The sequence below is a fragment of the Homo sapiens genome, chromosome 8 (assembly GCF_000001405.40).
Source record: "Homo sapiens chromosome 8, GRCh38.p14 Primary Assembly".
Lineage (NCBI taxonomy): Eukaryota > Metazoa > Chordata > Mammalia > Primates > Hominidae > Homo > Homo sapiens.
In genome coordinates this window covers 61,595,374-61,617,801 of record NC_000008.11, presented here as the reverse complement: position 1 = coordinate 61,617,801, position 22,428 = coordinate 61,595,374, and the positions used below count along the sequence as shown (strand labels likewise).

The window sequence follows — 22,428 nt, the reverse complement described above, 5'->3', positions numbered from 1 at the left end:
GCCACCACGCCAACTAATTTTTGTATTTTTTAAGTAGAGACAGGGTTTCACCATGTTGGCCAGGCTGGTCTCAAACTCCTGGCCTTGTTGTAATCCTCCCACCTCGGCCTCCCAAAGTGCTGAGGTTACAGGCATGAACCACCGTGCCTGGCCTTAGCTGTTTCTTTCTAGTACTTAGTTATGCATTTCTAAATAATTTGTATAATGCTGCAGTTTTCTCCTTAATATCAGAAACCGTTGGCTGACTCTGTTTTATAGATCGGTGAGATTAGCTCGATCATCATACTCTCACAAGCTCTCCGCTGCCTTACTTCCTGGATCTTCCGATATATTTAGGACATAACTATAAATAAGATAGCGATACCTGCTAATGAGAAAACACAAGGCAAGAAGGGGCAAATCAGCAGCTTTTGATAGAGTTGATCACTTCCTGTCCTTCAAACACTCCCTTCACATGGCTTGCTGGATACATTCTCTTGGTCTTTCTCCTGCTCTCTACTGTTTGCTTTTCTCAGGCTCTTTGGATGGATGTTTCTCATCTCCTTGACCATTAATCACCGGAGTGCCCCAGACTTAGTCCTCGGAGCATTTCCCCATATACACGCACTCTCTTAATGATCTCATCTAATCTCATGGCTTTAAATGCCTCTGTATGCCACAGATTGCCAAATTTACTCACAGCCTGGGTCTTTTGCCTGCACTCTAGACTGGTGTGTCCAGCTGTCTACATGTTGTCTGCCTGATAACTTCAATGTGTTGGATGTGTAATAATCACTTCAAACTTAACAAGTCTAAAACCGACTCCTGATCTTTCCCCCTCAAAACACACTTCATCCCCTTAAAATTAGTGTGCCAACTACATGCCAGGAATTGTTCTAGACAAGTGGTTGCAGGTGAGAGCAAGACAGACCAGGTTCCTGTTTCAGGGAACTCACATCCCAGTAGGGAGACCAGCAGTACACACACAGACTGAAATTGTGGTAAGAGTTCTGAGGAAACAAAGCAGGAGAGCATGCCGTAGGCAGAAGGGGTGGTGAATTAGGGAAGAAGGTGTCCCAGGAGGTTAGGGAAACCTAAGCACTCTGAGCAGAGGAACAGTTTGTACAAAAGTCCTGAGACAAGAGAGAAGGGCCCAAGAAGCTGGAGCACCTGAACAAGCCTAGAGTGTGTAAGATACAGTTAGAGAAAGTCAAAGACTAGACCACAGTGGGAGTCTGGACTTTTCTTCATGCTGTGGACACCGTACCCAGCCCATGCACATCTGTGTACCAAACAGAGCCCTTTCTCATTTACACATTGACTGGTTTGCTTCTGGGAGGTTCACTATAATGCATTCTTACAAAGAGAGGGACAGGGAGTCCGAATGGTGGGCATGGCTTGTTGCAGATAAACAGAAACACTTGCAAACCTGCCCCAAATCTGCTGCTCACAGGGCAGTTGCAATTGTGAGCTCCTCATATCTCTGCCTCTCATGCTCCAGACCTCCCATTCTAGTCTTAGCAGCCCGTACCTTCCCCTGCACTGTCGGGTATCCTCGGTGCACAGGTCTGACCTCCAGGGATGCTGATCCTAAAGGGGGTTTGCCAGGGAAGTGTAGAGGCTGGAACCTCTGGAACCTGCAAAGAAAATCATTGCAACGGCTTCTGTTGACTGGTTTGTCACTCTCCCCCCATTTAAAATTAGCACTTTAGATCAGTACCAACCAAAATATGTTTGTAACTAAAGTATTTTATTAAGGGGGAAATGCAGGAATAGACAGAATTAAAAGAAATAATGAATCAATGTCATCACAGATTTATTAAAAATCTATTGGAGCAAATTGTGAGCTGTGGAAATTCCATGTATTTTTTATTCAAATCGATTCATATGATACTGTTATCTGGTAAGGAAAAGGGAAAGGGAAACATTATGTAAACATTACATATCCAGAATATGTAGTAAAAAAATGGAATGGCCTTCACTCATCAGACTTTAGTTTCATAATAACAGAAACTGAAATTTTTTTAAGGCAAAATAGGCCCTCATTTGCAGACATCTGTTACTTGAGTCAAATCAGATTATTTTTATGTTTTAGATAAAATTGCGATATCAGTTTCTCCCCACTGGATGTCATCTTTTCCCACATATTCCATAGCCCATGGTCACAAAATGTGTGAACTACAAAATAATCCAATACAAAAATGGCTTGTTAAATGTCAAATTCAAACAGTCATTCGTGTTCATCCATTTATTGAGTACATAGTGAGTACTTATGATGTCCAGGCTCTGTTTTAGGCACTGGGCCCAAAACAGTCAATAAAACAGTTGCAGCTCTCATTGTACTTGCTTTTTAGTGTGTATAGGGGAGAGAGTGGGGCTGGATATGTAGTTTTAAAAAATTAAAATATAAGAGGCAGTGTGAAGTGTGAAAAGGAATATAAGACAGGAAAGGAAAACAGAATGAGCAGGAGGTGTTGCTGTGTAATAGGCCTCTTGGATGGTGACATTTAAGCAGAGATTTGAAGAGGCAAGGGCAGGAGTTGCACCGGCGTCTGGGAGAAGAGTTCCGAGACTTGGGGAGCATTCTCATGGTCCTCAGGGCATGTGTGCTTAGCATGTTTGAGGCCTAACAAGGAGGCGATTGCTGGTAAAGAAGGTATGAGGGGAGAGTGCAGGAGTGCATGAGACCAGAGTGGTCAAGGGTTCAAATCACATAGGCTTTCGAAGACAAAAGTAAGAACTTGTGTATTACCTCCAGTGAGATGGCCATTGGGAGATTCTGGGCAGAAGATGGATATGATTGCATTATATTTTCAAAGGCTCATTCTGGCCATAGGGGTGCAAGACTGGAAGCAGGGAAACCAATTAGGAGACTATTGCAGTGGTCCAGGCAAGACATGATGATGACCAGGATTACGATGTAGAGTAGAAGTGGTGAGTGCTGGTTAGATTCTACATATATTTGGATATAAAGTTAGTAGGGTTTGATAATGGGTGGAATAATGGAGTGAGAGAGGTCAAATATGGATCTATGGCCAGGCACAGTGGCTAATGCCTATAATCTCAGCACTTTGGAAGGCCAAGGGGAGGATCACTTGAGGCCAAGAGTTTGAGGCCAGCCTGGGCCACATAGTGAGATGCTGTCTCAACAAACAACAACAACAACAACAACAACAAAAACCCAACACGTAGCCAGGCATGGTAGCATGCGCCTGTAGTCCCAGCTACTCGGGAGTCTGAGGTAGGAGGATCGATGCTGCAGTGAACTATGATCATGCCACTGCACTCCAGTCTGGGCAACAGAGCAAGATCCTGACTCAAGGGAAAAGAATTCACTCTAACCTTTAAAAGCTGTACTTTGACAAATTCACTGAACACAAAAATGTGCAATATGTTCTTGATTTAGTATATTATCAAAGGTCAGTTATCAGTTGGGATTTGTGAGCCTTTAAAGAAATTTGAAGAGCAAAGGAAATGTGTTTTTTCTTGTGTGTATCTATGTGTGCACGTGGGTGGGTGGGTGTTAGATAAAACTGTATTTGTATTGTGGACTTTTCCTAAAATTTTTTATTTAGACTTATACTTAATATCTTATTAAATTATTCATTACAATTAAGAATATGTTTAAACAGTATTTACATGTCTTTAAAACACTTAAAGATTTCCTGGGTACTATTTGTATTTTTTTTTAAAGTCATAATCAGGGCCCTAACAAAACACCAGATGGCGCTAGAAAACAAATCACATTTACACTAACAGAAATCACATCTGCAAAGCAACTTAAAGAAAGGTGGAGATGGCTGTATTACAGCCAGTAAATCAGCTTGGTGCAACTAGTACTTCATATGGATAGTTCTTAGTTTTCTGTGATCATAAAGAAAATAGAACAGACGTAGCTAATAATCAAGTGTCATTCAGTTTTCTTATTTAAAAAATCTTCAGTGAAGTTTTCCTTGTGATTCTTATAACTGTATATAACATATTTGAACAAAGTTCTCTATTGCTTTGATGATAAAAAAATAAACTTCTTAGTGCAGCACATGACGCATCTCAGGATATAGCCCCTGCTTATGGCCTCCCTGTGTTCAAAATGCTCTTCCTAATCGCTCCACTTCCCTTTTATCACTCCCATTTCTTAAAACTGAGCTTAGATGTTCTGTCTTTCAGGAAGCCTTCTCTGACTGCACTCCCATCTCCTACCCCAGACCAGAAAGTGTGTTTCTCTTTTTGTTCCCAAGATGCCTTGTGCTTACAGATTTTTTATTAGCACATATTTTGAATTTTCCTTTTAATTTCTAGACAAAAAGCTTATTAAGAGTAGGAACCATGACCAACCCTTATCCCCTTATATTAATCAGAGTTTACAGAGTTCTCCAGAGAAACAAAACCAACAGGATGGTGTATGTGTATAGATATAGAAATAGATAGAGATTTATTTTAAGGAATTGGCTTACGTGATTGTAGAGGCTGGCCAGTCCAAAATCCGCAGAGCAGAGTTAATGTTGCAGCTTGAGTCTGGAGGCAGAATTACTTTTCCTTGGAAGGAGATAAGACTTTTTCTTAAGGCCTTCATCTGATTGGATCAGGACTACTCATATTATGGAGAGTAATCTGCTTTACTCAAAGTCTACTGATTTAAATGTTAATCTCACCAAAAATACCTTCTCAGCAACATCCAGACATGTTCAACCAAATATCTGGGTACCATGGCTTAGCCAAGTAGACAAATATAATTAACCATCACACTATTCTAGTGGTGCTTAACCATAGATAGTGGGTGCTGAATAAATAGTTGTAGTATGAAAAAAATGTGACTAACCCCCTTCCCTTTCATTCTTGCCCCTTCATCTGATAGTGATATTATAAGATGCATATAGCCTGAATGGTGGGCAGGAAGAATTATAAACAGAAAAGTCAAACTATGAATTAACTTTAAGTGTCTACAAATATACTTGCTACATTTCAAGTTATTTTCAGATGGGTTCTTGTTTAAGCCTTACCCATCAATCTTATGAGTTAAGCATTTTTCAGCTACCATTTCTTCATTTTTTAAATCTTCTTTCTCACTCCCCTACTTCTGTGCCTATAATTAAATGTATATTGGATTGCTTGAAAATGTCCCACAGGTCTATGAAACTTTGTTTATTTTTAGTCTGGGCATGATGGCTCATGCCTGTTATTCCAGCAATTTGGGAGGCCGAGGTGGGTGGATTACCTGAGGTCACGAGTTCAAGACCAGCCTGGCCAACATGGTGAAACCCCTTCTCTACTAAAAATACAAAAATTAGCCAGGTGGTGGTGTGTGCCTGTAATCCCAGCTACTTGGGAGGCTGAGGTGGGAGGATCACTTGAGCTCCAAAGGCAGAGGTTGCCATGAGCTGAAATCACACCACTGCCCTCAAGCCTGGGTGACAGAGCAAGACTTTGGCTCAAAAAAAAAAAAAAAAACTTTGTTCATTTCTTAATCATTTTTTCCCATTGGATTGCATGCTTTATATTATTATATCTTCAAGTCCAGTGATTCTTTCTTCTGCCATTTCAAATCTGTGTTGAGCTCATCTAGTAAAGTTTTCATTTTAGCTACTGTTCTTTCCAACTCTAGATCTCGAACTGCTTCTTTTTTGTAGTTTCCATTTCACTATTAAGATTCCATGTCTGTTTACTCATTAATACTATGTTTTTCTTTAATTCTTTGTACTTATTTATGATCAACAATTTGAAGTATTTTTCTAATAAACCCAATATTTGGGCACAATGGCAGGCAGCTGCAGTTGGCTCCTTTTTTTTTTTTTCCTGAGACTGGGTCAGGTGATTCCTATTTTTTTTGCATATCTAGTAGTTTTTGGTTGAAAACTGGATTGTGTATGTAATTTGTTATATCAACTTTGGAATTTGTTTTGGTCTTTCTGAGGACTGTTGGTGTGTGGTAGACAGTTAACTTGGCTGGACTCAAATTGAAAAATCTGACTCTCCAACAGTGTAAAGCAGCTAATATCTCTGCTCAGGATTTTTGGCTTTTAATTGCTGTGTTTAAAGTCTGGTCAGAAAGGGTGGCGGTGTCTTGTGCCTTCAGAGTTTACTTGTTTGCCAAAGATTTGAGTAGAATTCATACTCAGATTTTGAGACTTGCTTCTGGAATTTCCCCTTGCTTCTGGGATTCACTATCTAAATTTCAGTTGCCTGGCCAACCCCAAGTTCTGCCCTCTTACACCTCAAGCCAGTAGAACTTTTATCTCCTCTATTGGGAAATGCACTCAAGCAAAACATAACGACTTGTACTTTCATCAGAAGCTGCTCTTTCCGGAGGTAGATTTTTATAGTAGTCAGCCTCGAAGGCAGCCTCCAGTGATTCTTGCCTCCTGGCATTCATGCCTCTGTGTAGTTCTCTGTCTATTGAATAAAGCTGACCTGTGTGGCCGAAAGAATATTGCAGAAATGACAGAGTGTGACTTCCAAGGCTAACTCATAAAAAATGTTGCAGTTTTTACCATAATCCCTTTTAATCGCTCACTCTGGAGGAAACGAGCTCCTGCATTATGAGAGTATACAAGAAGCTGTGTCCATATAGCAAAAAACTTGGGAAATACAATAAATGTTTATGGCTGTTGCAAGGTGCTGAAGTTGGGGATGATTTGTTTTTGAAGTCATTATAGCTAATCCATCGCCCTCAAATTTCTGCTAGCTTTTTCACCAGGCTCCCTGGGGCTACCCATGAAGGTGGCAACTAAGTCAGCCAGGGATGCTTTGGCTTGTGAGCTTGGGAAGTATGAAGTGTGGTCCTTTCCTTTAAAAATTTATTCATTCATCTTATTGAGATGAGAACTGTAGTGCCTGGCTGCAAAGACACCATGAAGTTGCAATCATTCAGTCTCTGAGGGTCCATTCCATTGATGCACATGGGCTTGATCAAGCCATCACCGCCTTGAACTTAATTACTGCATGGTTAGCCTAGTTAGATCTGTCTTTGTCTTTTTGCTGCCCACTGGAGATGCTTTAGCCTTGTCTTTAGCAGTCCTGAAACACTAGGTATTCCTCATTGACAACAGCCTGCCTAGATGTTGCAGCACAGGCTGGTGGTTCAGTTCCAGCTAACCACTATGCCTAGTAATTTTTCCATGTTGTTGAAGAGCAATGTAGCAATAGCATAATAAACCAACTCAAGGAAAAGCTTTGAAAAAACAGTCTCCCGTCCACCCTTGCAGCTGTGAAAAGAGATTATGAGATAACTGCTCTTAAAGATTTATTGTAGTCATTACATTCAACAGCTACAGTAGTTTTAGTGGTTCCTAAAATACACCAGCAGTTATTGTCTGATTACTTCCACAGATAAGTTAATTATACAAGATTTCTGACTCTCATACAAGTCTGATTTAGAGAGAAGTTTAATTATGGCAATTTTAGTGATTGAAATAAGCTCAGCATATATCATCAGTCTTAGCAAGTATAGTAGAGGTTTTTAGCTGTGTTAAAATACACATTCTCTTTGTTTTTATTTTTCATTTCATGATTTCTAACCATAGTGTAGTACATGTGATAATTTAGGACACCTGTTTTCACCAGAGTGCATCTTCAGTCAAACACACCACAGGACAACAATAGCAAATTCTTCATTATCATTAAAATCCCATTCTAATGCTGCCCATGGAGCACTCCACATTTTACAAAGCTAATTTGTATAATGATTGTGACAATGTGAGCAGGAAAGTAAAATACTTTTCTTAAGGAAAAAAAAATCAGGTATTGGTATGTTTTAAAATGACTGTTAAGATTGTAATTTTTTTAATGATGGAAGATGTGACACTCCTTCAAATCAGGCAATGCACTTCATTGTTTATGAACACATTGTCTATTTCTATACTGAGGCAAATTAAAGATTAACTTTAACCACATATGCTTAAATTAACTTAAAATTAAGCTTTCAAAAAATGTGCCATAAAAAGACAGTGCTGTGAGTAGTTGAATATATTCATTTATTTAAACAAGACTTCAAATTGGTGAGTACATTAGTTTGAAAAATGCTTTACTGAAAATTACCTTAGTCTGAGCCCTGCAGACCTCTTCCCCATAGCACTTTTCATTCTTCTAATATAATGGTAGGTCCAGTGGCATTTGGAGCAGTAGTTCCTGCGATATTTTTATATTTTTCACTTAAAAATCAAATATATATTGACAATAGGAAAATATTAATAATGGTGAAAATAAATCAAATTCTGTTTTAATTTGAGTGATTTTATTACATCCTGCCTGGGAAGCCAGTCTACCGCCTTTCCTTAACACTATGAATGTCAGTCATGCCTTTCCTCTTTGCTGCAATGTTCTTTCTTCTTCCTCTTCATCCATTGGGATCCACCCCACAGTCCTTTGCTGCTACCATGCCCGGTCAGCAGTGACAGAGATGTGGGTGAGCATGGAATGAAGATTAGGCATCTCACAGGCAGTGTCTGGAGACCACGCGGGAGGCAGCAGGCAAATCTGTCTCAGAAATACGGAGAAACCTAGCCTCATAGGGATTCTGGAACAGACCACAAGTAAAGCTGCCAGCAGAGGATGTTTGCTAACAGAAAGCAGGATTTCCACGTGGAGGGGTAGCATTGGATCCTCAAAGTACTGGAATAGCACAGAAAGCCCCGTCGCTAGCCCTGCCACGTCGTTAGGAGCTGGTCCAGGATGAAGGTAGCAGGGCATGAGCTCAGTGCCAGGAGAGCAGCCGCACTCGTGGTGTATCACCTGCCATAATGCTTTTATCTAACTTCCCCTTTCCTCCTCGCCCTCCATCTAGAGCACCTGAAGCTAATGTACGGATAATTAACTGCTATTGAAACCAGTGATGCACCCAAACAAAACTAGGTTCTCCTTAGGCACCACTGTATACTGTAGCATTTCCCACCCCTACCTGCCTGCTCGTCTAACCCAGCTCTGTGTCACTGCTGGCCAGGCACAGTGAGAGCAAAGGACTGCAGGATGGATCCCAGTGGATGAAGAGGAAGAAGAAAGTGCGGTAGAATCACATGGGGGAGAGTTCAGACAGTGCCCTGGGTCCCACCCTCAACTATTCTGATTTCATCACTCTAGGTGCAATAATTCTCATGTGTAGTCATGGTTGAGAAGTGTTAGTTAAGATACGCTGCTGACCTAGTCAGTCTGGTCTGTGTATCAGGCCCATCTTAACTAAAAATTTTTATTGGTATCACCTGATTCAGAAATCATTTTTTGACAATATTTGAATCCGATTTGAAGGGGTTTTTTAATAAAATATAAAGCCAACAAAAGGATCGTTTGAGAAAAGCTGAACCTGTAGTATGAAAAAAAATTTTAAGTTTATTAAACAGCTATTTTAAAGATAACCATATGAGCCACAAATGGTAAGCAAACCTAGCTGTACTGAGGAGCTGAGGAAACCTTGCAGTGCTTCCTTCTCATGGCGTGGACAGAATACTGAGCTTGGTAGTTGAGGCAGCTGTTACTGCCTGAATCTTGGCGGAGACCCTTTTCATCTCATGACCCATGTTCTATCTCATCGGCAGACTCTCACCTCACTCAGCTCCATTCCTTTAGCAAACCGTGCAAATTTTAATCAGGACTAAAAGACTACTTTTAACAAATTCTCAGTTGCCCTCTATACATGCTCAAACTTCAGATATGAAAGAACAAGATTTTTATCAATGATATTTTCAAAGGTCTAGCTTTTTCTGATGCCGTCAGTTACTACTGCATTGATGCCAGCAAGTGCTAGAAGAAAGGTGAGCCTTTCCCAGTGCTGCAAATATGTTGCCTGGGAAAGACAGCAACTGCCTCTGGCCTAGGACTGGAGAGACCCACTTGACCACTGTCTCAAGTCCCCCATCCTCCTTCCTGCTCCTGCTGTCCTCATTCTCCACCCTGATTTCAGCAGCTGAGAGTAGACACTATCCTCTTTGAGATTTTTGCTGCTTAACTATTTGAGGCAACTAATTAAATCCTCATCATGTATGTGGGGACATGTCATTTACTGAACAAATATTGCTGTATAGGATGACGATGTTTGAGGGAAAACATAACCCTAATAATAAATGGCAGATGCATTCCACTTCGTTTGTTCACTTTCTGCAAAGGGACTTAGCTGTGCTTTGTACTCAGAAGGTACTCAGCATTTCCTGGGTCATTGCCATAGACCGATTCATGGGTCTCTCATGCCAGAAAGAATGTTGTTTTTTTTTTTCCTTTAACTCTTATTATTAAAGTAATAAGAAAACATTACTGAGGGCATAACAGTACTTCTTTCATGGTTCCCCTCCTAAATTATTTACTACTAGATATGTTAACCACTTAAGGTGAATATATAGCACTTTATGTTGCGAATTCTAAACTCATTTCAAATTATAAATACATTTGTTGAGTTGGTCATGGTAGAATAAGAGAACACTGATTTTTGCCTTTGAGTTCATTTTTAAAAGTCAGCGTGTATGGATGAACGGAGTAGGAGAAAGAATTATATATATTCCGACACACTTTCATTTACAGAGGACTCATTTGCGTCTGGTGAAAGCCAGGCGGCTTGCACCATGTCCTGGGACTTCAGCCATCCTTTCATGTGTTGACCCTTCTTAAAGAATGGAAGGGGGAACTGAATAAAGAAGATAACAGCTTCTAGCTAAGAAGGATGATGCATTAGTTTGCCAAATATATAGGCTCCTTTTGTGTGCTATGCTCTGTGGAGCGCTCTGAAAGCAAAGCAAGTAACTACAATGTAAAGAGGTAGAGACTATGAACAAAATGCTGTGGGAACACCAAGGAGGAAATGACACACTGCTGGCAGGAGATGGAAAGCAACTGGAGTCTTCATGGAGCGATGACATTTGAGCTGGTCCTCAAGTAGTGGGTGAGGATTACATCCATGCAAGAGCCCTGTGAACCCAGATACTGAAGTATGTCTAATGACAAGGATGATAAGTTGATATGGAAAAAAAATCACAGGTGTTTCTGCTCACAGCAAGCCCAGCAGTACTCCAAGAGCAGTACTTAACTTGGGTGTCATGGGCTATGCTCTCTATACAGAAGATTACATTAGAGTCTTGTCTTAAAAACCCTTTTTGGGAAAATTATCATAATTCATTTTTTTCTAATATCCAATGACTTTTACGCTTTTGCTACTTTGATTCATCAGTACGTTGATGATACCTTCTCCTCTTTGTCCCATTCCTGCTTCATGATAATTTAATGAAATTAAAGTAATGGATTTAATTAGCACCTACATCTATGATTATATGTATATATTATTTATCTGAAACCTTTGGGGTGGGCCAGCTACCACAATTAAAATATCAACTTGATTCAAGTTGTGTGAAGCACACTTTAAACTTGAAATAAAAGTGAATAAAATCTATTTATACAGTGTGATGCCTTTAATTGATACCCTTTATATAAAAGCCAAGGTTTGATAAAGTTGTGTTTCAGGTAATAACCTTGATTTTTATGCTTCATTGAAATTTGGCTCCTCTCCCCCAAGGATCACTGACTTCCTTGTGCATTTATATCATCATAGTAGTGATGTTATTACTAATGTCATTCAGCTAGTCATAGGGTGGAAGTAGCATTAATTGCAAATTATAGCTTCAACATAAAACCAATGAACTTGGGTGAGCATTTAATTTCTGGGCCTTGTCACTTTGATTCATACTGCGTCTTTGCCTTTTAACTGCTGCTGTGAGCATACATGTGCATTCTCTGCAGTATATTTTTTCATGGCACTTCCAGACAGTCCTAAGAGTCAAGCAGTATAGGACCCAGCAGGGTATGTGTTGTTGCGCCATTAATTGCATACCTCTGCGCCTTCTGAGGAAGGAGGCCAGAGGCAGATTGTCTTTCACCCCCTGAGAAGTATGATAATAGCTTGACAGTGCTCTTACTGGAGTATTTCTCTGTGATTATTAAATACAAGTGAAGAGACTTGTTAGAAAGAGAGAAAAATGAGGAATATTTTAAAATTGCCTTTTAGATTAATAGTATCAAACACACTTAGTGCATTGGTACTAGCGTCATGGAAATACACAAGAGGTTTCCATTCTTGGTCAGTCTGAGTTTGGGGTTTGATCTGGTGTGTTTTTAGATTAAAGTGTGTGGCTAAATGTGATGCTGGAGGTCAAGGCTCTTATGAGCCCTGTTCTTTTGTCTGCTTCAGCTTTTGAGTAGCTATTATTATCATTTTATCAGTGAGCATTTTCCTTATAGGCATATGAATTCCTCTTACTAGTGTGAAATCACTTATTTAATTCTAGAAAATTCTTGCAGTACAGTAGAAAGGGTTCTTGACTAGGAGTGTTAATCAGCTTTACCAATTCTTATTTGCTATTTCATCTTGAACAAGTCTCCTGGCCTCTCTGAGCTTTTTCTCCCATGTATAAAACATGGAGATAATTCTACCTGCACTCCTGCATTTTTCGTGCAGGTCAGATGGCCATTTGGCTTTGTCGCTGGTGTCATGCTATACAGATATGAGCAACTATTATCATTACTTTCCCTCCAGTGATTACTTTGTATAAAATGCATGTTATCCCTAAGTCCAAATGCAATAGAAGAGTAATCTGATATTGCTTGTGTATGTTCCTTTTCTAAGAGGCTCTTAATGACTGTGATAAACTTTATCCACATGACATTCCAATGTCTTTAAGTGCAAGAGAAAGGTGGTTATTCTTCAGGGATATTTTTCTAGGAAGTGTTTATATGTGAAAACAAACATCTACAAGTTGAATAAGTTATGAGAATATTGGAAAGCTATTTGAGGAATGCTTGTAGTGGCAACTCATTAAAGCGTTAAGTTATGCTTTCCTTCTACCTTGGGTGTTACAGCTTTATTAACACTGAGTTTGAAAACAGCTAACAAAAAAAGCTAAATGCTTAAGGGATTTATTATAAAATTCAATAGTGCCATTAATTTCCATGTATGCTTTAAATTGCTGGGAAAAAGTAATGTATTCAGCAAAGAAGCAAGTTCCTGCTTCCTCCCCTGAGTCTGCCTGATTGTGCAATTGGTCTCTCATTCTTTAATTAAACTTGTCCAAAGATAGGATCCGCTAAAATGTTTACTGTATAAATAGTTTTCATTCCCAGTGTGCAAGTTTAAAACCATGGTAAAAAGTTTGTCATCTGTTAACAACCAAAACATGTGGTGTGCTGTTGCATAAAAATAAACTGCACATTATTCATAAAAGGGATCACAACATGTATCACATCTTTGGGGCTGACAATAATCTGTGATGTTTTGGAATGTCACCTCCTTCTAAGTGACAGTATGCTCAGTAGTGCATTATGTTAAAAAACATGATCGTCTATAATTGTAATAAAAATAATTCATGTATTGTTATTCAAGTGAAATTGATTTATCTGAATGTCAGTGTTACTGATAAGAAATTATAATTTTTAATTTTTTCTTTGATATTTTCAAATCTAAATTTTCCTGAGTTTTATTTTCAAGTCTTTTTTTCCTCCCTAAAATTTAACCATTTAATTTAGCCAGGAATTTAACCATTTCTCTCTCTTTCTGTACTACCATTGCCTCGGCCCTGTGACATCTCAGGCTTGTATATCACATCCAGGGAGTCTTCTTGCCTCTAGTTTTTGCCTTTCTGCATATATGTACCTACCACAAGAGAAAGTTCTTGAAAGACAGGATTCATATGCTCACTCATTGAAGCCATCAGAAATACCACATTGTCTGTGGAGCAAAGTCAAAATTCCTCAGAATTTTGTTCAAGGCACCCCATAATCTGGCTGTAAGCCACCTGTTTAGCCTTGGCCCTAACTATCCATGTCCCTGTACTTTATAGAATTCCACAAGATTTTTCACAAATCCCTGAACATACCTTTTTCACATTTATATGTACATACTTTCCCATTTCTTTGAAATATTTTTCGCTGTCTACCTCATTCCAAATTAGATCTGTGCCTCAAGAGTCAGTTCTAATGTTCTGTCATTCCTTAATTCTTTCCTTGTTTTTCCAATTAGTGGTAATCCTTTGCTTCTTTCTGTTCCCAGAGCATTTTGTAATTCTTACTTTGCATGATCATTTTCAGTCTTTTATTCTAGTCATTAATTTACTTCCCCCCTACCACTTTCTAATGTGTGAAGTACTTGGGGATAGGGATTGTCTTGTTTATCTTTGTGTCCCCACACTAGTTAGCATAATACCTGTGAGGCACTCAATAAATACGTGTCAAAATGGTTTGAAAATGGTCACACATTGTGTTCTGGAGAATCCAATAAGCAAACTAATGCAATGGAAAAATTTAGACAAACAGGTCAGAGCAGATTGTCATATTCCACATAGGATTTTTTTTTCTATGTAGCAGTAGTTATGGATGTCCTAAAATGATTTTGGCCCTTTCCTATTCAGTATTTCTTAATGGACAAGAGTGGACATTAATAGACATTAATATCTCACAAGATTCTGCAGGAAGTTCTGATTTGTTTCACACAAAACGAATTGCTGTCTTTGGACCTTGTTTAGGTCCCATTTCAAATTAACAAACTCTATAAATTTTTAAGACAATCAGGGAAATGTAAACACTGATTATTCAGTGAAAGTATCCAACTATGATATTCAGAAATTATTGTGAATTTCTTTTCTCTTTTTTTTTTTTTTTTTTTTTTTTTTTGAGACAAGTCTCACTCTGTCACCCAGGCTGGAGTGCAGTGGTGCGATCTCGGCTCACTGCAATCTCCACCTCCCAGGCTCAAGCGATTCTCCTGCCTCAGCCTCCCAAGCAGCTGGGATTATAGGCACTGACCACCATACCTGGCTAATTTTTGCATTTTTAGTAGAAATGGGGTTTCACCATGTTGGCCAGACTGGTCTCGAACTCCTGACCCCAAGTGATCTGCCCGCCTTTGCCTCCCAAAGTGCTGGGATTACAGGCATGAGCCACCACGCCCAGCTGTGAATTTCTTTTTAGATATGGTAACAGTATTGTGGTTATATTTTTATATGTTTATTATAACAACTTCACTGAGGTATAGTTAATATACAATAGACTTCACCTAAAGCATACAGTTTGATAAGTTTTGCCATGTATGAAACTGTAAAACCCTCACCAAAATCAAGATAATGACCATATCCAGTGATCCCAAGTTTCCTGGTGCTGCTCTGTGACTTCTCCTGGATGTTCTTCCTCTGTGCCCCTCCCCAACCCCAGGCAGCCACTGATCCACTTAAGGTCCCTACGCATTAGTTTACATTTCCCAGATTCAGTGGCTGGAACCTCCAGTAAAATGCCAAGAAGTTATGCATGGACATCTTTGTCTTTTTCTTGATCTTGGGGGCAGGAGAGGGTAGAATTCAGTCTGTTACCGTTTAGTATTGTTAGCTTTAGATTTTTCATAGATGCTCATTCTCAGATTGAGAAAGTTTCCTATGTCTACACTGCTTAAAGTTTTTTTTCAGGAATTGGTTTTAGATTTAGTCAAAGGCTGTTCTATTGTCTAATGAAATGATCATATTTTTTTCATTTTTGTGTATAATATAAATTGCACTGATTAATTCTAGATGTTAAAACAACTATACATTAATACATTTCTGAGATAAAACTCATGATGCATTATTCCTTATATATCTTGTTGGATTTGATTTGCTAACATTTTGATAAGAAGTTTTTTACATCTGTGTTCATGAGGGATACCAGTTAGTAGTTTTCTTTTCATGTAGTATCTTTTTCTGATTTTGGTTTCATAATAATGCAGACCCCACAGAAGGAGTTGGGAAACAACCCCTTCTCTTTAAGAATTTATGTATGATTTCTTTATTACATATTTGATAGAATTCACTAGTGAAGGTGACTGGGCCTAGTATTTTGTGTTTGGAAAGTTTTTAACCATAAGCTTTATTTATTTGACTGATACAAGATATTCAGGTTATTTGTTTATTCTTAAGTAACCTTGGGTAGTTTGTGTCTTTCAAGAATTGTGTTCATTTCATCTAATTTGTTGAGTTAATTGACATAACATTGTTTATAATATTTATTGTTTAATAATTATAGAATCTGTAATGATATCACCTGACTCATTCATGATGTTGGCTATTTATGTTTATTTGTGTCTTCTCTCTTTTTCTTGATCGGTCTGGTGGAGTATCAATTTTAGTTAACTTCTCTCAAAATCAGCTTTATTTTTATTATCTTCCTCTGGTATTTTCTTGCTTTCTAAATTATCAATATGTACCTTGATCTTTATTATTTCCTTTCTTCCACTTATTTTAGGTTTAATTTGCTGTTCCTTTTTGAGGTTTTTTTTTTTTCTCTCTCTCTCTTTTTTTGAGATGGAGTCTCACTCTGTCACCCAGGCTGGAGTGCACTGGCGCAATCTTGGCTCACTGCAACCTCCGCCTCCTGGGTTCAAGCAATTCTCTGCTTCAGCCTCCTGAGTAGCTGGGATTACAGGCACCCGCCACCACGCCTGGCTAATTTTTGTATTTTTAGTAGAGACGAGGTTTCACGATGTTGGCCAGGCTGGTCTTGAGCTCCTGACCTCGTGATCCACCTGCCTCAGCCTCCCACTTACAAAGGTGTGTATTTTACTATTGTTGCAGGGAGTCTAGAAAAGTCATTTAGGTCAAGTTGCTTCATACCACTGTTCAAATCTTCTATATCCTTGCTGATGTTCTCTCTGCTTGTCCTATTAATTACTGATGGAGGGCTACCAAAGCCTCTGATGGAATTGTGGATTTTTCTATTCTCTTTAAAGTTCTGTCAGGTTTTGTTTCATGGATTTTAAAGTTCTGTAACTAGGGGAATGAACATTTAGATTATTATGTTCTCTTAATGAATTGATTTATTTATCGTTATGAAATAATCCCCTTTATCATTGAGAATATTCTTTGGTCTGAAATCTGCTTTGATATTCACACAGGCAGGCACTTCAGCTCTTTTTTATTGTCCTTTTTATTAGAATGATATGCCATTTTCTACTCATTTGCTTTTAACGTATTTGTCTTTATATTTGAAGTGTATTTATTGAGTTACCACATAGCTGGCTCTTACTTTTTTATCCAAGCTGAAATTGTTTGGCATTTAATTGGGAGTATTTATATTTAATGTGATTATTGCTATGATTAGATTTAGATCTATTATCTTGCTGTATGTTTTCTATTTTTCATATTTCTTCTTTGTTCCAATTTTCCTCTTTTACCTTCTTGGCTAAATTTATTCTTAGGTTTTTTTTGTAGCTATTATAAACAGGATTACTTTCTTGATTTCTTTTCAGCTTGTTTGCTATGGTGTATAGAAATGCTACTGATTTTTGCATATTGATTTTGTATCCTGTAACTTTACTGAATTTGTTTATCAAGTCTAAAAGTTTTCTGGTAGAGTCTTTAGATTTTTTTCTATATAAGATCATGTTTTCTGCAAACAGGACAATTTGACTTCCTCTTTTCCAATTTGGGTGACTTTTATTTCTTTTTCTTGCCCTTTTGCTCTGGCTTGGACCTCCAATACTATGTTAAACAAGAGCAGTGAAAGTAAACACCTTTTTCTTATTTCAGTTCTTAGAGGAAAGGCTTTCTGCTTTTCTCCACTCACTGTGATGTTAGCTGTGGGTTTGTCATACATGGCCTTTATTATGTTGAGGTATATTCCTTCTATGCCTAATTTGTTCAGAAGTGTGTTGTATTTTATCAAATGCGTTTTCTGCAACTATTGAGATGATCATATGGTTTTTGTCCTATCGATGTATTTTTTTTTATTTTCATATGTTGAACCATCCTTGCATTCATGGGATAAATCACACTTGATCATGGTCTGTTATTTTTTAGATGGGTTGTTGGATTCACTTTGCTAATATTTTATTAGGGATTTTCGTATCAGGAATATCAGTGTGTATTTTTTTGTTGTTCTTGTTGTCGTTGTTGTGTCCTGTTTGGCTTTAGTATCAGGGCAATGCTGTCCTGGTAGAATGAGCTAGGAAGAATTCCCTTCTCTTCAATTTTTTGGAATAGTTTGAGAATTGGTGTTAGTTCTTTAAAAGTTTGGTGAAATTCAACAGTAATGCTATGTGGTCCTAGGCTTTTCTTTGTTGGGAGATTTCTGATTCAGTCTCATTACTTGTTATTGATCTGTTCAGGGTTTCTGTTTCTTCCTAGTTCAATCTTGGTGGTTGTATGTGTTTAGGAATTTATCCATTTCCTCTAGGGTTTTCAATTTGTTAGTGTATGATTGTTCATAATAGTCTCTGATGATCCTTCGTAGTTCTGTGGCATCAGTTAAAATGTCTCATTTTTATTTCTGATTTTATTTATTTGGGTCTTCTCTCCTTTTTTTTCTTAGTCATTCTAGCTAGTATTTTATCAATTTTGTTTTTCTTTTCTTTTTTTTTTTTTGACTTTTTTAATATACTTTAAGTTCTAGGGTACATGTGCACAACGTGCAGGTTTGTTACATATGTATACATGTGCCGTGTTGCTGTGCTGCACCCATTAACTCGTCATTTACACTAGGTATATCTCCTAATGCTATCCCTCCTCACTCCCCCGACCCCACAACAGGCCCCGGTGTGTGATGTTCCCCTTCCTGTGTCCAAGTGTTCTCATTGTTCAATTCCCATCTATGAATGAGAACATGTGTTGTTTGGTTTTTTGTCCTTGAAAAACCAACTTTTCATTTCATTGAACTTTTGTAATTTTTTTTTAGTCCCTATTTTGTTTAGTTTTTCTCTGATCTTTATTGTTTGTTTCTTTCTACTAGTTTTAGGTTTGGCTTTTTCTTGATCTTCTAGTTCTTTGAGGCATGTCATTAGGTTGTTTATTTGAAATCTTTCTACATTTTTGTTGTAGGTGTTTAGTGCTTATAAACTTCCTTCTTAGCACTACTGTATCTCATGGGTTTTGGTATGTTGTGTTTCTATTTTGATTGCTTCAAGTAGTTTTTTAAAAATTTCCTTCTTAATTTTTTCATTGACTCAGTGGCCATTCAGGAGCATGTTGTTTAATTTTCATGTATTTGTAAAATTTCCGAAGTTTCTCTCCTTACTGCATTTTTAGTTTTATTTCATTGTGTTCTGGAAGATACCTGATATGATTTCAATTTTTTAAAATTTGTCAAGACATGTTCTGTGGCCTAACATATGGTCTACCTGGAGAATGTTCCAAGTGCTGACAAGAAGAAGAGTGTGTACTCCGTAGCTGTTGGATATGATGCTCTGTAAATGTCTGTTAAGTCCATTTGGTCTAAAAGTGCAGTTTAAATCCAGTGTTTATTTTGTTGGTTTTCTGTCTAGCTGATCTGTCCAATACTCAGAGTGGGGTGTTGAACTTGCCAACTATTATTGTATTAGAGTCTGTCTCTTCCTTTAGAGATAATAATATTTGCTTTATATATCTGGATGCATATATATGTGGAATTATGTCCTCTTGAAGAATTGATCCCTTTATCATTATATAATGACCTTCTTTGTTTCTTTTTTATAGTTTTTCATGTGAAGTTTGTTTTATCTGATAATAAAATAGCTACTCCTGCTCACTTTTGGTTTGTATTTGCCTGCATATCTTTTTCTGTCTTTCTATTTGCCTGCATATCTTTTTCTGTCTTTTTGCTTTTAGTTTATATGTGTTTCAGGTGAAATGAGTTTCTTGTAGGCAGAATATAGTTGTGGTATGTGTTTTTATCAGTTTATCCAGATTATATCTTTTAAGTAAGAATTTAATTTGTTTATATTCAAGGTTACTATTGATAGGTGAGGACTTATTCCTGTCATTTTGTTAATTGTTTTCTTGTTTTCCTTTTGTTGTTGTTGTATATTTTTTGCTCCTTTATCGTCTGTTGTTTATCATGCAGTTTGGTAGTTTTCTGTACTGGTAACATTTGACTCTTGTTTTCTCATTTGTCTGTCTGCTCTACTAGTGAGTTTTATACTTTGTTTATACTTTGGTGTGTTTTCATGGTGGCAGATATTGTCCTTTTCCTTCCAGATATAGGACCCTCTTAGGCATTTCTTGTAGGGCTGGCTTAGTGGTGATAAATTCTGTCAGTTTTTGCTTAAGAAAGACTTTATTCCTCCTTCATTTTTGAAGGATAGCTTTGCTGGATCTGGTATCTTAGCTGGCAATTTTTTTTCTTTCAGCTCTTTGAAAATGTCATTTTATTCTCTTCTGGCCTGAAAGATTTCTGCTGAGAAATATGCTGTTATTCTAATGGGAATTCCATTTTAAATAACTTGATTCTTTTGCTGTTTTTATAATTTTCTCTTTGTCTTTCACTTTTGACAGTTTTACTGTAATGTAACTTGGAGAAGACCATTTTGTTTCAATTTATTTGGGGATCTTTGAGCTTCTCATATTTGGATGTCTATATTTCTTGCAAGCTTTGAGAAGTTTGAAAGCTATTATTTCATTAAATAAGTTTTCTTTGCCTCTGTTCATATCCATAAATTAGGACATTTGGTTATTTGGTTGATTTATGGTGTCACATATATTATGTAATAATCTTTTCTTTTCTTTCCTTTCTTTTCTTGAGACAGGGTCTTGCCATGTTGCCCACACTGATCTTGAACTCCTGAGCTCAAGCGATGCATATGCCTCAGCCTCCCAAAGTGCTGGGATTACAGACATGAGCCACCATGCCTGACCATGCCAGGCCCCTTCATTGTTTTTTTTTTTTTTTTTTTCCTGACTGGATTATTTCAAGTGATCTATCTTCTGGTTCTGAAATTTTTCCTTCTATTCAATCTAGTCTATTGTTGATGGTGATGGTCTTGATTTTATTTTTGATTTCACTCATTGAATTCTTTAGTTCCCGGTTGAGTTCTTTTAAATGGTATCTATCTCTCTATTGAATTTTTCTTTCAGATCATAAATTATTTTCTTAATTTTTTTGTGTCATTTATCTCTGTTCTCATATATCTCACTGAGTTTCTTTAGTATTATTATTCTGATTCTTTTTCTGATATTTCATAATTTCCTTTTCATCAGAAGCTGTTGCTGGAAAATTATTGCGTTCCCTTGGAAGTGTCATGTCTTCTTCCTTTTTTTGTCTTCATTTGTCCTTACCTTTGATATCTGCACATTTGGTATAACAGTCACTTCTTCCAATTTTGTGAATTGGCTTTCATAGGAAAGACTTTTTTGCTGTAGAAGTATCTATAATGCTGGTTGTGTAGAGCACTTTGTCTTTGATTCTGGGCTGGCGCAGTAGTGTAGTCTCAGTATGATTTCCTTGGCTGTGTTCAGCATCAGTGGTGTCTGTGATTTCCTCAGTGGTTTAGCTGTGAATTTTAGTGGAGGCTGTGGTGAGGCTCTGCTGGGGACTGGGATGCCAGGTGGGCTGGTCCTTGGGCATGCCCGTCTGTGGGCCCCTAGGCAGTGTACATGGGCACTGATGGTAGTGGGTCCAGGAGAGCAGACCTTTGGGCCTTCAGAAGGCTTACTTGGTTACCAGCAGTGGCTGCAGTGGGCAGGCAGGTCCTCAGGCACCTAGGCAGCATGTGTGGTATTGGCCATGGCAGTAGCAGTAGCAGGCCAACCCTCAGGCTCTCAAGTGTCATGTGCAGGTACCTAGGTCCCCAGGTAGGGTGTACAAGTGGTTGCTTGCAGTAGAGGTGGCAGGCTGGCTGGGCCCATCCTCAGGCCCCTGGAAGGCATGCACAGGTGCCAGTGGTGGCAGATGGGGTGGGTCAATCCCTAGGCCCCTGGAACATGTGTGTAAGCATTGGTGGTGGCGGGCCAGGTGAACCAATCTCCAGGTTCCCAGACAACATGCACAGGGAGTAGCAGGAGTGGTACCAGGTAGGACACACTTGTTCTCACACTGCCTGACAGTGCACATGAGTGCAGGCTGCATTGAGGGGTGGGGCACGGGGCAATCCTTACACATCCAGATGGCACACTGGGGCATCAGTGACAGTGGGGGTGGGTGGGGTGGATCTATCTTCAGATCCCCAGACAGCATGCATGGGTGCCTGCAGTGACAGGCTGAGTGGGCCGATTCCCAGGCTTCCAGATGATATGCTTAGGTGCCAACAGCTATGGCAGTAAACCAGGTGGCCCTGTTTTTAGGCCCCTGAATGGCAGGTGCCAGTGGCAGCAGGTGGGGCAGGCTTATTATTGGGCTTCCTGATGGTGCATCCAGGCCATTCTTATTTTTATTTCCCTGTGTGTGACATGTCTATTCTCTCTGTCTGCTTTTATGATCCTTATTTTATCACTGGTTTGAGGAATGTGATCCCTATCTCTCAGAGATCACTGACCTTTATTACCTGATATACAGTTTCTCACAAGCCATTGTTTCATAGATAATATGGAAATATTTAGAAATTTTACCAAGTTTACTCTCAACCTTAGTATTTGAAGATAATGTCCTCCTCTTTATTGTTATTTTTCACTACCTCTGTTTCAGAAAGGCAATGGCTTTGTTTTTCAATATATCAAATAATAGATTTACATCCCTGTTACTGATCTATAATCTCATTTGTCTGTAATGAGAAACCTCCCA

General features: G+C 38.4%; 1 protein-coding gene across 76 annotated transcripts in view; it reads left to right on the top strand.

Annotated features, from left to right (window-relative positions):
* The window catches only part of ASPH (aspartate beta-hydroxylase), a 214,037-nt gene that overhangs the window by 96,791 nt on the left and 94,818 nt on the right, over positions 1–22,428 (top strand). For 4 of the 76 annotated variants that reach the window (XM_047421793.1, XM_047421792.1, XM_024447157.2 and 1 more), the window contains one exon: positions 10,480–11,341. The exons of the other annotated variants lie outside the window; for them this stretch is intronic. In XM_047421793.1, the coding sequence (XP_047277749.1) occupies positions 10,480–10,556 (77 nt within the window). In that variant the 3' untranslated portion in view covers positions 10,557–11,341. Of the gene's footprint in view, positions 1–10,479; positions 11,342–22,428 lie in introns of those variants that run through there. 76 annotated transcript variants of the gene reach the window in all.